Here is a 14,565-nt window from a genome sequence, read left to right as displayed (position 1 = left end):
TTATGAAGGTAGTCCTGACACATGCCTATTGAACAAATGTGCATGTAACATACAACCCATGTTCACCCTGGGGCGGAGACTTAACATTTCAATGTATTACAATTGGACCCTATATGCAAAAGGGACACAAAGTCACTCAAGTGAACAGCCTCTGTAAACTGACCAGGACTGGTCCATGATTGATGGTCTATCAAGAGAAGGTTACTAAAATCACTCTCTTGTCCAATCAAAGCTGTAGTTATGGCTGGTGGAACAGGGGCCAGGGGTTGGTTGGTTAGTCAGTGTCTGATGGTTGGTGAGCTGCAAATTTTTTTTTTTTTTTTTTGAGACAGGGTCTGACTCTGTCACCCAGGCTGGAATGCAGTGGTTGCTAACTGCACTCCATCTCCTGGGCTCATGCTGTCCTCCCACTTCAGCCTCCCAAGTAGCTGGGACCTTAAGCATGCGCCACCCCGCCCAGCTAGTTTTTATATTTTTAAAAGAGATGGGATTTTGCCATGTTGCCAAGACTGGTTTCAAACTTCTGGAGTCAAAGCCATCTGCCCACCTTGGCCTCCCAAAGTGCTGGGATTACAGGCATGAACCACCGCACCAGCCCCAAATTGTTTTAACGTTGTTTATCTCAAGGCCAGTGCTTGTTTAGCTGAAAGAGAAAAAGAAAAACCTTGTGGCAGTTAGCACACAGTGTATTCTTTAAGCGCAGGGGTGTGTGACTTCACCCTGGCCCTAGAATGGCCTTAGGTACTGTTTGTAATTTGGTATCTTATGGCCATAAAGAATCTGTTCTGTCTTACAATCTCTATTTCAGCATTAATGCTGGTCAGTTGTGTCTAAATCCCAAAAGAGAGGAGGAATAACAAGGTGTGTTCAGCCTCTTGTCTCGTCATGACTGGGAACTCAGTTTTTAAGGTTTCTCTGGGGTCCCCTTGACCAAGAGGGGGGTCAGTTCATCAGTTTGGGGGCTTAGAACTTTATTTTTAGTTTACATCTCCAAATATATTATACTAGGTTGCTTATTTTTAAAGCTCTAGTCAAACATTTTTTACTTCAGAAAATTGACTTGTTTAAACTTCAGTAATTTGTACACTGACCATTATCACAGGACTTTGGACCATATTTAAACACTTTTGATTTATAAATCATTAGACTTTCCTGTATAGAGCAGTTGAAAAAAATAGCAAAGCCTTCATCTGACAAGGCTCACAAACGAACGGTTCACCGGCACAACTTGCCCTGTTTCCATATCATGTTGGATCTTTGCCAGCAACTGTATGACTTTGTTTAAAGAGACAAGGAAGTCATCTATGGAGAGGGCCTCAGGCCGCTAAGTCTCCCCCTCTGTCTGTGTGAGAACAGACATCCTGAGGTGAGAGCTCGTACTCTGCTGTTGTCAAATGTAGGATTTAAGACCAAGAAGCATAGTTGCTGGAGAGCAGACAGAGGTGAGAAGGCACCATCTGCTGCCTCACAGAGAAACTAATATTCATAGTATTGAAATGTTTCCCAATAGAGCTGAGGTTCCTAAGTGGATGCCATGGAGTACCTTCCCTGGAATCACCTCCTGAGTCTGTTAAAAATAGATTCCCGGGTTTGAGACAGGGTCTCAAAAAATAGATTCCCTAGACCACACCCTAGGTCTACTGATTCAGAATCTTTGAGGATGGCACCCTGGAATCAAGATTTTAAGCAAGTTCCCAGGTGATTCTGATGCTCACTGAAGTGTGATTTCCACTCTGTAAAGGTAAAAGCTGCCTGGGACCCGTTAGGCCCACCCCTGGTTTGAAGGGCAGACAAGTGCAGGCGAGAGCATGCGGGAACACGTGGGAGCCCAGGGCTTACCTCCCCTCAGCTGCTCCAGTACTTTGGCTGATTAGCCAGACCTTGTCTGACATGCCAAGAGCCACTTCCTCTTTCTTAGAAGCAAGCCAATCTGGGAAACAGGGGTTTTATCCTAATTTTTGGTATTTCCTGATTTGAACTCAAAATCTTAGGAGAAGAGTCTATTTTCATTTTAGCAGAAAGATTTTCAGTTTAGAGCAAGGAGAAGAAGAACTGTGCCTTAAATAAATAAATAACCCCCCAATGATAATATCACACAATTTTATCAGTTTGGGTGTGATTATATCTAAATGCAAAGAGTTGAATAGGGCTGGGCATGGTGGTGCATGCCTCTAATCCCAGCACTTTGGGAAGCCAAGGCAGGTGGATCCCTTGAACCCAGGAATTTGAGACCAGCCTGGGCAACTTGGCAAAACCCCATCTTACAAAAAATACAAAAATGAGCTGGGTGTGGTGGTGTGTGCCTGTAATCCCAGCTACTCGGGAGGTTGAGGTGGGAGGATCCCTTGAGCCCAGGAGGTGGAGGCTGCAGTGATCTGAGATGGCATCACTGCACTCCAACCTGGGTAATAATAAAGCAGGACCCTGTCTAAAAAACAAAAAAAACAAAAAAAACAAAAAAAAAAAAAAAGAGAGAGAGAGATGACCTCTTACCTTTTATCCCCAATTCCCTTATAGCTATGAGTCTATGATAATTATTCAAAAATTGTTGGCTGGGTGCAGTGGCTAATGCCTGTAATCCCAGCACTTCAGGAGGCCTAGGCAGGCAGATCATTTGAGGTCAGGAGTTCGAGACCAGCCTGGCTAACATGGTGAAACCCTGTCTCTACTAAAAATACAAAAATTAGCTGGGCATGGTGGTGGGCACCTGTAATCCCAGCTACTCAGGAGGCTGAGGCAGGAGAATCGCTTGACCCTTGGAGGCGGAAGTTGCAATGAGCCGAGATCGAGCCACTGCACTCCAGACTGGGGGATAGAGTGAGACTCCATCTCAAAAACAAAAAAAACAAAACAAAAAAAAAGAAGTGTTACTGATGGAAAAAAGACACAGAAACTAATAATGAAACAATCATGCCTGATGAAAAAAAATAGCCCCCAAACCACGAACAATTTCTTCAAGGATAAGAATACTTCAAGTAATTCTAATTCTGCATAAAATCATTCATCTATTTCTGCATTCTAAAGCTTTATGATATTCATCTGAGAGTTTCAAGATCCATAACAATAAGAGGCAGGTTGTGAAACTTCATTATTTCACTTTCCTAGATGGAAAAACAGACGCCCTGAAGGGCTGAGAGCCAGGTCAGAAACATATTCAAATCAACGCCAATTGGATGTGTCAAGTGGGCCTCCTGCTCTCAGTCAACACCAAGCATCCAGGCACCAGTGGAAGCCCACTCTCTACTGACTAAACTATGGGGAGAAGTCAAGCGAAACCATTTCCTTTCCTCCCACTTAGAGTGTCATACACATTTTCATACTTGCAGAAACTATTAAAAGAATAGGGTCATATACATTCAGGTACCTAGCACCTAGATCCAACATTGCTAACATTTTGCCATTTTTGTGTGGCAAAAACTGCACCAACAGATACATGCTTATATGGAGAAAATGTATTATGCATTCAATGCATAATACATTTTCTCCATATAAGCATGTATCTGTTGGTGCAGTTGAACTGTCTAAAAATACATTGCAGATACCATGACCCTTGACTCTCAAATGTAATTTTTAAGATAAGGACACTCTCTACCTCATCATCTTTTTCTTTCTTTCTTTTTTTTTTAAAAAAAAGAGACAGGGTTTTGCTCTGTCACCCAGGCTGGAATGCAGTGGCATGATCACTGCTCACTGCAGCCTTGACCTCTTGAGCTCAAGTGATCCTCCTGCCTCAGCCTCCTGAGTAGCTAGGACTACAGGTGCATGCCACCATGCCTGGCTAATTAAAAAAAACATTTTTTTTTTTTTTTTTTTAGAGAAGGAGTCTCACTATGTTGCCCAGGCTGGTCTTGAAATACTGGCCTCAAGCGATCCTCCTGCCTTGACCTCCCAAAGCACTGAGATTATAGGCATGAGCCACTGCGCCTGGCTCCTAATCATCTTTTGATTCATGCACAGAAAGGTGGAGTCCTGCAGCTGGAATCAGACTATGTGGATTTAGAGTCCTGCTCTGACACCAGCTGTGTGGTCTCAGAATCGTATAGCTCTCTGGGTCTTAAGTTTTTGTCTCTACAACTGAGGGATTTGGACTAGATCAGTGATTCTCAATTCTGGCTACACAGTAGAATCACCTGGGAATTTTAAATTAATTGCTCTAAAGTGCAGCCCGGGCATGGCCAGTTTAAAGAGCTGTGCAGATGATTCTAATATGCAGCCACGGTAGAGGATCGTTGGACTAAGTAACCTCTGGAGATCTTTCTAGTTCTATCTTTCTGTGGTTCTGAGTAGCAATGTGGCTTTGCTCTTGGGCCAGGCCCCCTCCTCTGCCCACCTCACAAGGCTTAATGATGTTCTTTGTGCTTGCTGCCCATAGTTCCCGTGCATGTGTGGAATGCTTCATTCAAAAACCATGATGCTGGATGGAAGCTACAGTGAGTCTGAGGCCAACAGCCTGGCTGGGTACCCCAGAAGCCATATCCTGACAGAAGAAGAAAGGCAAGACAAAATAGTGGTCCACCTGGGCCTGAGTGGTGAAGCCAACGCTGCCAGAAAGAAGGGGCTTCTGAAGGGCCAGACGGGTTTTCGTATCTTCCAGAATACCCATGCCATTGACAAATACTCTAGGTTGATATTCCCTGCCTCCTACATATTTTTCAACTTAATTTATTGGTCAGTGTTTTCCTAGGGGCTCCAAGGCTGTTCCTAGAAGAGGGCATAGACATCGAGGGGGCCTGGCCAGTCATTGACAGACGGACTTGTTGACCACACGCCCCTCACCAAACAATGCAGCAGCTACTGGACCACCCTGAGCAGCACTCATCTCTCAGAGAAGCCCAGGAGCCTTCCAGCTGCCCTGACCCCAGACCCCGTGGGGCTGCTCCATGTTCATGCTGTCTCGCGTCACACTTCACATCTCTCTGGGACCTTCTGTTCTTGTGTGTGAACTAATTCACAAGAACTCCCCTCCTATAAACAAGGATTCAAATGCCTCCTAGACATTCTTAGACCCTCAGATTGCCTAGGAGTCAGTTGTGGAGGGAAAAGGAAAAACTGAAGTACAAGCTTAGGGGCATTCTGGATAGGAGATAGGAAATTAAGAACAAAAAACACCCTGTAAACCCATTGAACTTGATTAAGTGCCTACCTAGAAGGGAAAAGAGCTGAGATCCCAGACAGGAAATGATTTGGCCTGTGGGAGTATGGCAACCCACAGGATTCTGCAATATTAGAGGAGATTATTCATTTATCCATCCATTCAACCATTCATTAAATATTGAGGTCCCACTCTGTGCCAGGTACGGTAGAAATGAGAAAATAGTCTCTTTCCTTAGAGATCTTCTCTAAGTTGTGCTCATTCTACATATGGCATGATGTACTTCTGCTCTTTCCCCTCCTTCAACCCCGCTTACCCCACAGACCCATTCTGTTTGCTGTTGCTTTTACTCTTAGGCATATAAGGCAGGGTCCAGGAGAGGCCAGGTCCAGAACTTTCAACTATCCTCCTCCAGTGAAGTTACACAGATAGCACTAATTTTGCCCAGCAATGACATGTAGCAATGTGCATGGAGTATTGCCAGCCAGAGAAACTTACCCAGGCTCACCACGGTGTACAGTTTTTTTATTGGGGTCGGTCATGGATTTATAGCTGATTGCCCACATGGCTGACTTTAGTCTTTTGCCCCTCCAGAGGTTAAGCTGGTACCTTGAGGTCCAGGGCACCTATCATAAATCACATTGTTGGCATAGACTATCTGGTGTGGCCCAAGGCCCCAGTAGACAAAGACCCTTCTATCTCACAGGACATTCCAAGGGCATAGAGGTTGCTTCCTAGTAAAGGTTAGTCCTTTACTACACAGCAACTCTTGTCAATTCCCTATTGTTAATGTTAATTGCGGTGTTACTATTATATATTCAGGCAATAAACATTTTAAAGTATCTCTGCACTAGGTACATTGGGGTCCAAATTAAGAATAAGAGTAGTCGAAGCTCTCAGAGAAGGAACTAGTAAAGGAAATACCACACAAATATCTATAATATAAGATTAAGAGTGTTTAGTGCCTCAGTAATAGTTCAGTGTGAGATGGGAATTCCAAGGGAGGAAAAACAGTCCCACCAGGGAGACAGACCTCATGGAGAAAGCAGCCCTGAGATGCCCCTTGAAGGTCAGGATTTTAAGAAGAAGAAATGGAGCAGAATGCATCCTAGATCTGGGCTGTCTCATATGGTAGCCACTAGCCACATGTCTATTTAAATTTAAATTAGTAAAAATTAAAAATATTAGCCAGGTGTGGTGGTGTGTGCCTGGGGTTCTAGCTACTCAGGAGGCTGAGGCGGGAGGATTGCTTGAGCCCAGGAATTCCAGGCTGCCGTGAGCTGTGATCAAGCCACTGCAGTCCAGCCTGAGTGACAGAGCGAGACCCTATCTCTAAAATAATAATTATTATTATTTAAATTAGTTGAAGTTAAATAAAATTGAAAACTCAGTTCCTTGGTTACACCATCCACACTCAAGTGGGCTTAGTAAGCACAGTTGCTAGTAGCTACTGCACTGGGCTGGGCAGCCTAAAGACCAGGAAGCTCTACCAGCCAAGAGACCAGCTTGAGCGGACGCATGGGGAGAATGGGAAGGTTTGCCATTGCAGAGAACAGGGTTTGTGGGCAAGTCATTCATTTTGGCAGGATCCTAGGCTGTGATAAGAGGAGGTGAGCGACTAGCTTTTTCCACAACACTAGGGATCAAGGCAGGTCCCCACCATGCCGGTGCTTATGAGGACAGCTTCCCCACTATGGAGTTGCTGGACCCAAGACTACTAGATTTCCCAGTCTCACAGACCAATGAAGAACAAAAATGCATAAATATGGGTAATTGGGTGGTACAGGGCATCTGGACTTGTTTAGAAACCTTTTTTTCTTTTCTGAGACAGAGTTTCACTCTTGTTGCTCAGGCTGGAGTGCAATGGCTTGATCTTGGCTCACCACAACCTCTGCCTCCCGGGTTCAAGCAATTCTCCTGCCTCAGCCCTGGAGTAGCTGGGATTACAGGCATGCGCCACCATGCCTGGCTAACTTTTGTATTTTTTAGTAGAGATGGGGTTTCTCCATGTTAGTCAGCCTGGTCTTGAACTCCTGACCTCAGGTGATCCGCCTGCCTCAGCCTCCCAAAGTGCTGTGATTACAGGCGTGAGCCACCACACCCGGCCAGAAACCTTTTATCTATAGAGACTCTCCCAGGCCACAGTGCTGCTCGAAGAATGATAATTCTATTGTCATTAAATATATCATATTGCTTTGCTTGTAAGTCTTATTTAATTCCAACCCTTCTCTGCTTCTGACTGCATTGTTTTCATGCATTATGGCTCATATAACATAGTTGCCTGTTCACAAATTAAAACAAATATTTATTTTTGCTAGCTTCTATGTTAAACTGGAGTTAATTCTATAGCAGACATATTTAGAATCATAAACAGTGTTTTATCATGCAGGGCCATGATACAATGACACCATTGTATTTAGCATTGCCTTATTACAGTATACTAGTCTGACACTACTTGAGAAAAGTAGGAAATTTAAAGAGGTAAAGTGGAGACAACATTGGTAGGAGTAGAAAACAGGAACTAAGGAAATAGTGAGAACATGGGATGATTCACCCTGGAGGCAGGAAGACAGAGAAGCAAACACAATTGTTATCAGGAATGCATGAATGATACTTTACTTCACTGAATCTAAGACATGGTGAAATGTAAGATGCACCCATATTTTATGTACTGAGAAAAAATACTAACAATCAAATTCTGGAATGCCAATGATTATAATATGAATCCTGATTTCACCAATATGAAACTGTGAAAAAATGTTAATGTTACAATAAAAGAAATGGGTTTTATACAAAAACTGGTGATTGGACATACTTCATTGACACCAAGGAGCCAACATTTATTTAGCACTTGTCCTCAAGGTCTTGTGCTGAGGTGAGGGATGGTGGTGACGGGTAAAGAAATGAATGGGAAACACTCTTCAGTCATTAAGAAGCTTACACTCTAATGGGTGTGGCTCAAAGGAGGGAATGATCACAGAATTTGAGGAGTGTTTTCTGATAAATATTGAGTGATGAATAAACACAGCTTTGAGTACTAGAAAAGGGAAGGAAGGGATGATAACGTGGCAGAAGGAAAGCTCAGGTATGTTCAGGGGTCAGTGAATAGACACTCTACGGAATGTACAAGACATAAGATAGGAAAAGTAAGTTGGAGAAAAAGGGCTTTGAGCAGGGAAGTTATAATCTTTTGGAAAATCAATTAATTTGCCATCAGAATATAAACTGGTGTAGTTTTTAACCATTTTGGTTGCCAGTGACAGAAATTCAACTAAAAATGGTACAAATGAAAAGAAGATATATTGGAAGGATACTCCAGGGGCTCATAGAATGAAAGGGGATTTGAAGGCAGCAGGGAAGCTCTAGGGAATTAAGGGTCTGGAATTGGGTTTCAGCATGTCCCTTCAGGGTCATATCTCCATCCAACACTCTGTCTGTCTTCATTCTCACCCACTGCAGACAAGTTTCCTCCACCTGCTGTGGGTGGGTGGGTGAAGTGGCCTTGACGGTCTTAGGCCCACAGCTTTCTAGTTCAATCACCCAGTGTCAAGGGTCTTTCTATGTTTATTCCACTTAGAATAAACCTGGGGAATGAATTTAACTGGTCTGGGCTGGGCCATGTATGTTGAAGGTGATCAGATCTCTGTGATGTGTTTAAGTTGAGAAAGCTAGAACTCTTCAAAAACACTTTTATTTGGTTCCACCTTTTTGCAAACATCTGTTAAAGGGAGGCCATGAATTTGAAAAATGAAAGGCTGCTTAGTTTGAGGAAACCAGTGAAGAAGGAAAATAACATTAAAAATAGTGGAGAAAGTTCATGCTAAATTCAGTAATGTGTGAGGGCCACAGTCTATGTGTTGATGTTCATAGAGACTGGAAAGCCAGGAGAAAGAGCTGGCATGCGTGGAGGATGAGGAGTTTGAGTTTCACAAGGAACTAGAAATGTCAAATAAAAAGTAGCAAATGTTGGTGTGAGCCTGAGAGGGAGATAAAGATTTGGAACCATATCCTAGATATGCTGAATGAAGCTATGAAAATGGCCAAAACTGAAGGGGAAGAAGCAGCAGACAGCAGGTCTGTGGACAAGAGCTCGGGAGTATATATTTAGGTGGGAGGAGGATTGTGGTAGAAGCTGGGAGGAGGGAGTTTCTCAACAGGAGGAGGGTGGGGCTGGGAGCAAATAATAACCATAAAAACAAGAAGGGTAAAGACTGAACAGATGTGACAAGGTGTAGGCAGGAGGCTCGGTGGCCACAAACACCAGGTAGACAGCCATCCTTGGCTGTCTTAACCACAGTGATTGAGGAAGGTAGAAGTAACATGTTCAGAGAATTATGTTACTTATTATGGAAAGACTATTATAGATTCTTATATTTTTGAAGGCTTAAAACATAACATGGTAGCAGACCCAGCCTGAATAAGGGCTGTGTTCTCAATGGTTGGTTCCCCAAACTATTACACTGGAATTTGGGGGAGTGGCACAAGAACAGCGTTTATAACTGGATCATCAGATCCAGTCGTCACAGAAGATAAGAGAACAGCCATTAAAGTGACCATATGAGGTAAATGGCAAGTATAGAGTGCATCCTCCGCTCAGCACCAGGCTAAACGCCAGACGTGTGATTCCTGATTCAGTTCTCACATCAACCCTGCTGTGGTAGGAAGGACTTTCCCGTACTCCATACCTGCTAAGCTGTGGGGCCTCCCATAACTGCAGTCAACACATCTACGTAGGTGGATCTTGCATGAAACAATCCATTTCTCATAGTATTTTCAGGAAAAAGGTGATTCATTCCCCACTTAGATGGACAGAGAAGTGGTTAGAAAGAGCAGATAGAAAATCTGGGTTATGCTGAAACACATCTACATGGTTATCTCTACACTCAGGTGAGAACTTGGAGTTAAACCAGGACATCTTGGTTTAGCTTCTTGAGGCTGGAAGCTGGCTTTGAGAGACACATACATATTCAGGGCAGCCAGGGCAGAGGCATTATGGGTTTCCATCACCGACTCTGTTAAAAGCACTATTCATTTAATCAGTGCGCAAGGAGAATCCACAGCCGCCGCCGTGACCACCACCATTTGAAACGTCTTGTCTTTTTCATTCCATTGCAAAGGAACGGAGGGCTGTGGCCTAGAGGATTAGCACCGGTATGGAAGCAGCTGACTCCCCACTCCCACCAATCACTAGGAAACGGTACCGGTAAAGAAGGCTGTGTGCCTTACATGTGTCTGAGGACAAGTGTGCTGGACTCTTCTCATGGAGAGTTAAGTCCTGTGCTAGGAGGGTCTCATGGCCCAGCCTACCCAGCCTCCAGAGCCATCCGGAGCCTGCTCATATCTGCAGCATAAGAACATTCCCCATTAGCAGATTGGATAAAGCACTCAGTCCTGACCCTCTGACCTTCAGATGGCATTTAAAAAATGACATTTGGGCCAGCCATCGATAACATTAGGTTTCGGATTTATTTTAAAAGCTAAATTGAAAAATAAACCTTCGCTGTAGTACTCTGTTGTTTAATCTAAACTGACCAGGTTAATGGTGGTGAATACTCTTCTGCACTGTGTCCATTTAGCCCAACATGGCTCAAATTTTAATGTGCATATGAATAACTTGGATATCTTCATAAAATGCAGATTTTGATCCAATAGTTTTGGGAGGGGACCCTGGATTATGTATTTCTAACAAGCACCCAGGAGATGTTGGTGCTGCTGGTCTGCGGACCAGGCTTTAAGTAACAAGGCCCCAGAGACCCCTGCTCATCATTTGAAGTGAAACTCAGATGTGTCACCTCCCGTCTGTGGCATCCTGACAAGAGAGCTCACATTCCCCTCCCAAGGCAGAATGTATTATTATCTCATCTGTGATCCCAAAGCATTTTGTGCATTGAGGCACTTCCTTTATGTTGTGATTATTCTACTTGAACAATGGTTCCCAGGCTGGCTGTATGTGAGTCACCTGGGGAACTTTTGAAAAAGTATCAGTGCCTAAGCCCAGCCCCATTCTGATTTTATTGTGGTCTCAACTCTCTCTCTCTTTTTAAATGACACTATTTTTAAAAGGCTGTTAAGGGGGATCACTTGAGCCCTGGAGTTCGAGACCAACCTGAGCAACATAACAAGACTCCTCTACAAAACAGTTTAAAAATCAGTTGGGTGTGGTGGTGTGCACCCATAATCATAGCTACTCAGGAGGCTGAAGTGGGTGGGAGGATTGCTTGGACCCAGAAGGCTGAGGCTGCTGTGAGCTGTGATTGTGCCACTGCACTCCAGCCTGAGTGAAAGAGTGAGACCCTGTGTCTGAAAAAAATAAAGGCTGGTACTAAAGTCTGAAATAAATTTCTCTGGGAGAGTATTGTCTGGACATGGTTTCTAAACTGTGTTCCCTGGAAACAAGGGGTTCTCTGGAGGGGCTTTAAGGTCTACTCTGGAGGAATGGGTGGGAGACAGAAGAACAAGAAGGAACACAGTGCATGGGGACAAGAGATGGAGTCAGCCAACCAGCCCAACAAAGAATACAGAGCCTACTATGAGCAGGTGCTCTTCCAGGAACCCAGTGCTTTAGTTCTTCCAGGAGCCCAGTGAAGAAGGATTTACAGAGAGAGAAGAGGTAAAGGGGGTGAGTTCCAGGGCCAGGGCTGGAACTGGGGCTTCTGTCCCCAAGCCCTTTTCACTTTTCACAGTTTCCTATAAGAAAGCTACGGAGTTCCAGGAAAAAAAAAATGGCCCAAGGGAGGTTTTAGTCTTCTTCTACCAACGTCCTTTCAGATCATTCCAGAAGGCACCTGACTTCCTGGCCGCAGGCACGGAAATCAGGGGTGGGAGGGTCAGACAAGCACCCACAGAGCTTGGATTTGCCTGAGCTGCTTGGAAGAAGCTTCCAGCCCTGGATGCTGGGCCTCTGGTTGCCAGCCCTCTTCTGGCCTCCGGCCTTCACCTGCCTCTTCTTTTCCTTTCCCTAAGAAAGCACCGCTGTTCCACCTCCGCTAGGAAGCTGGCAGCTGCTGCCTCCACATCTCCAACTCTTTCCTGGTGTCTGCTCTACCATGGCATTGGAGAGGCTGTAGAGTGGCACCTAGCCACAGACCTTTCTCATCCTCCTGTGAGCAGAAAGGGTACAGGAGGGGAGGTTGCCCCAGAGAATTTAACCATGGATGTAATAAGAAGCCCTAGAAGGTAAGCTATCTGAGAGCAAGGATTTTTGTCCATTTCCTTAATTGCAGTAATTTAGGGTCTACAACAGTGCTTGGCACATGATAGATGCTCAGGAAATATTTATGGAAGAAATGAGTGAACTCTTCTTGCCCATGAGGCACTGGGGACTGTGCTGAATGCTTACTTACATTGTGTCATTTATTGTTAGCTACTGAGGTATCTCATTCATGTTCTTTGTGGGGGCAGGAGCCTGGAGATTCAGAGGATGCACTTTGCTAGCTCTGTGGCCATGAGCCATTTATTTACTCTGAGTTTTAGTTTCTTTACGTGAAAAAAAAAATGTGTGTGTGTTTGTGTGTTACACACACACATAATTCTGGCCTCTCAGAGTGGATGTGAGAAGTGAGTGAGCCAATGTACCTACCCAGCCCAGGCTGGGTGTAGTGGCTTATGCCTGTAATCCCAACACTTTGGGAGCCTAAGGGGGGAGGATCACTTGAGCGCAAGCAACATAGTGAGATCCTGTCTCTACAAAAAATATTTTAAAATTAGCTGGGCATAGTGTCATGCACCTGTAGTCCCAGCTGTCTGGGAGGCTGAGGCAGGGGGATTGCTTGAGCCCAAAAGTTGAAGGCTGCAGCGAGCTGTGATTACACCATTGCATTCCAGCTTGGGTGACAGAGAAAGACTCTATCTCTAAAAAACAAAACAAAACAAAAACTAAAATACTCAGCCCAGTGTCTGGTCCCTGAGGAAAAATGAAGTAGAAGAAAGAGATGAGGAGAGGGGAGGAAAGTGAGGAAGGAGGAGAAGAGTGTTGCCATGTTCCCAAAAGGGGAAGAGCATTGCTAAGTTTTAACTTTGCCAAATGAAAAGATTTAAAACCACCCACAACTCAAAATATTACTTCCATCTCTTATCACTGTCATTTTTTTTTTTCTTTGAGAAGGAGTCTCGCTCTGTTGCCCAGGCTGGAGTGCAGTGGCATGATCTCCACTCAGTGCAAACTCTGCCTCCCGGGTTCAAGTGATTCTCCTGCCTCAGCCTCCCGAGTAACTGGGATTACAGGCATAAGCCACCACACCTGGCTTATTTTTGTATTTTTAGTAGAGACAGGGTTTCGCCATATTGGCCAAGCTGGTCTCGAACTCCTGATCTCAAGTGATCCACCCCCGCCCTCACCTTCGGCCTCCCAAAGTGCTGGGATTACAGGGGTGAGCCACTGACCCACTGTCATTTCTAAAACAAAAATTTGAACACTGAAACTGTGGGAAGGTCTGATTTCAGAATATATGAAATTCTTCCCAAGAAAACTCAGTTTGCACTTTATCCTGGACATTTTCACCAAAAGAACAGATGAGGGCTGGGCGCGGTGGCTCACGCCTGGAATCCCAGCACTTTGGGAGGTGGAGGCAGGTGGATCACCTCAGGTCAGGAGTTTGAGACCAGCCTGGCCAACATGGTGAAACCCCGTCCCTACTAAAAATACAAAAAATTAGCTGGGTGTGGTGGCACACACCTGTAATCCCGGCTACTCAGGAGGCTGAGGCCGGAGAATCGCTTGAACATGGGAGGCGGAGGTTACGGTCAGCCAAGATCATGCCACTGCACTCCAGCCTGGGCGACAGAGTGAGACTCTGTCTCCAAAAAAAAAAAAAAAGAATCCAGAGTGAGATAAACAGCTTGTATAATTTTCTGGATGTTCCTTCTTAATAATAAAATAATACAAGAAATAAGACAGCATTTAAAAACAACACTGTGAATAATAATGTATGACTACATGAGTCAGTAATCTGGGCCATTTGTACACCTGGGATTCAAGTTACTGCTTATCTTAAGGCCATAGTGTCCAAGAATAATGACATCTTTCGTTTTCCACAATACTATTCTGCCCCTATTTATTGCATGTCATGTACACATGCCACATGAATATGGGCATCTAAAGAGTGGGAATATGTAGTCATATCTGTCATATCTGTGTTCTGGGAAACTTACCTTTTCATAAACTATTACCAGATACAGCTGACAACTTTTATCGAGTTATGATTCGCATGCACTAAAATATACAGATCTTAAGTGTATATTTCCATTCGTTTTGACAATGTGTGTACCCATTAGCCCACAATCTACAGAGATAGAACATTGTTGGCACCTCATAAAGTTCTTCCATGCTCCAGATTAATCCTTATAATCACCTTCCCTTACTTCACAACTACTGTTCTGAGATCCATCGCCATTAGATTGGTTCTATCATTTCTAAAACTTCACATAAATGGAATCATGAGGTATGTACTCTTTTATGTCTGGCTTTTATTCAC

At 44.2% G+C, this 14,565-nt stretch overlaps 1 protein-coding gene across 6 annotated transcripts in view, besides 1 other annotated feature; it reads left to right on the top strand.

Annotated features, from left to right (window-relative positions):
• The window catches only part of GABRR2 (gamma-aminobutyric acid type A receptor subunit rho2), a 60,836-nt gene extending 52,946 nt beyond the window's left edge, over nucleotides 1–7,890 (top strand). For 5 of the 6 annotated variants that reach the window (NM_002043.5, XM_011535715.4, XM_011535717.4 and 2 more), the window contains one exon: nucleotides 4,373–7,890. In NM_002043.5, the coding sequence (NP_002034.3) occupies nucleotides 4,373–4,684 (312 nt within the window). In that variant the 3' untranslated portion in view covers nucleotides 4,685–7,890. The remainder of the gene's footprint in view (nucleotides 1–4,372) is intronic. The other variant, XM_047418599.1, reaches the window with a different exon arrangement.
• Nucleotides 1,751–1,810: a silencer, noted in NCBI's record as "silent region_17387". NCBI's record gives its function as "represses an Ori minimal core promoter by ATAC-STARR-seq in GM12878 lymphoblastoid cells {active_cell/tissue: GM12878}" and the evidence as "EXISTENCE:reporter gene assay evidence [ECO:0000049][PMID:35858748]".

This window comes from Homo sapiens, chromosome 6, assembly GCF_000001405.40.
Source record: "Homo sapiens chromosome 6, GRCh38.p14 Primary Assembly".
NCBI classification, from domain to species: Eukaryota; Metazoa; Chordata; class Mammalia; order Primates; family Hominidae; genus Homo; species Homo sapiens.
This window is presented reverse-complemented; position numbering and strand designations above follow the sequence as displayed.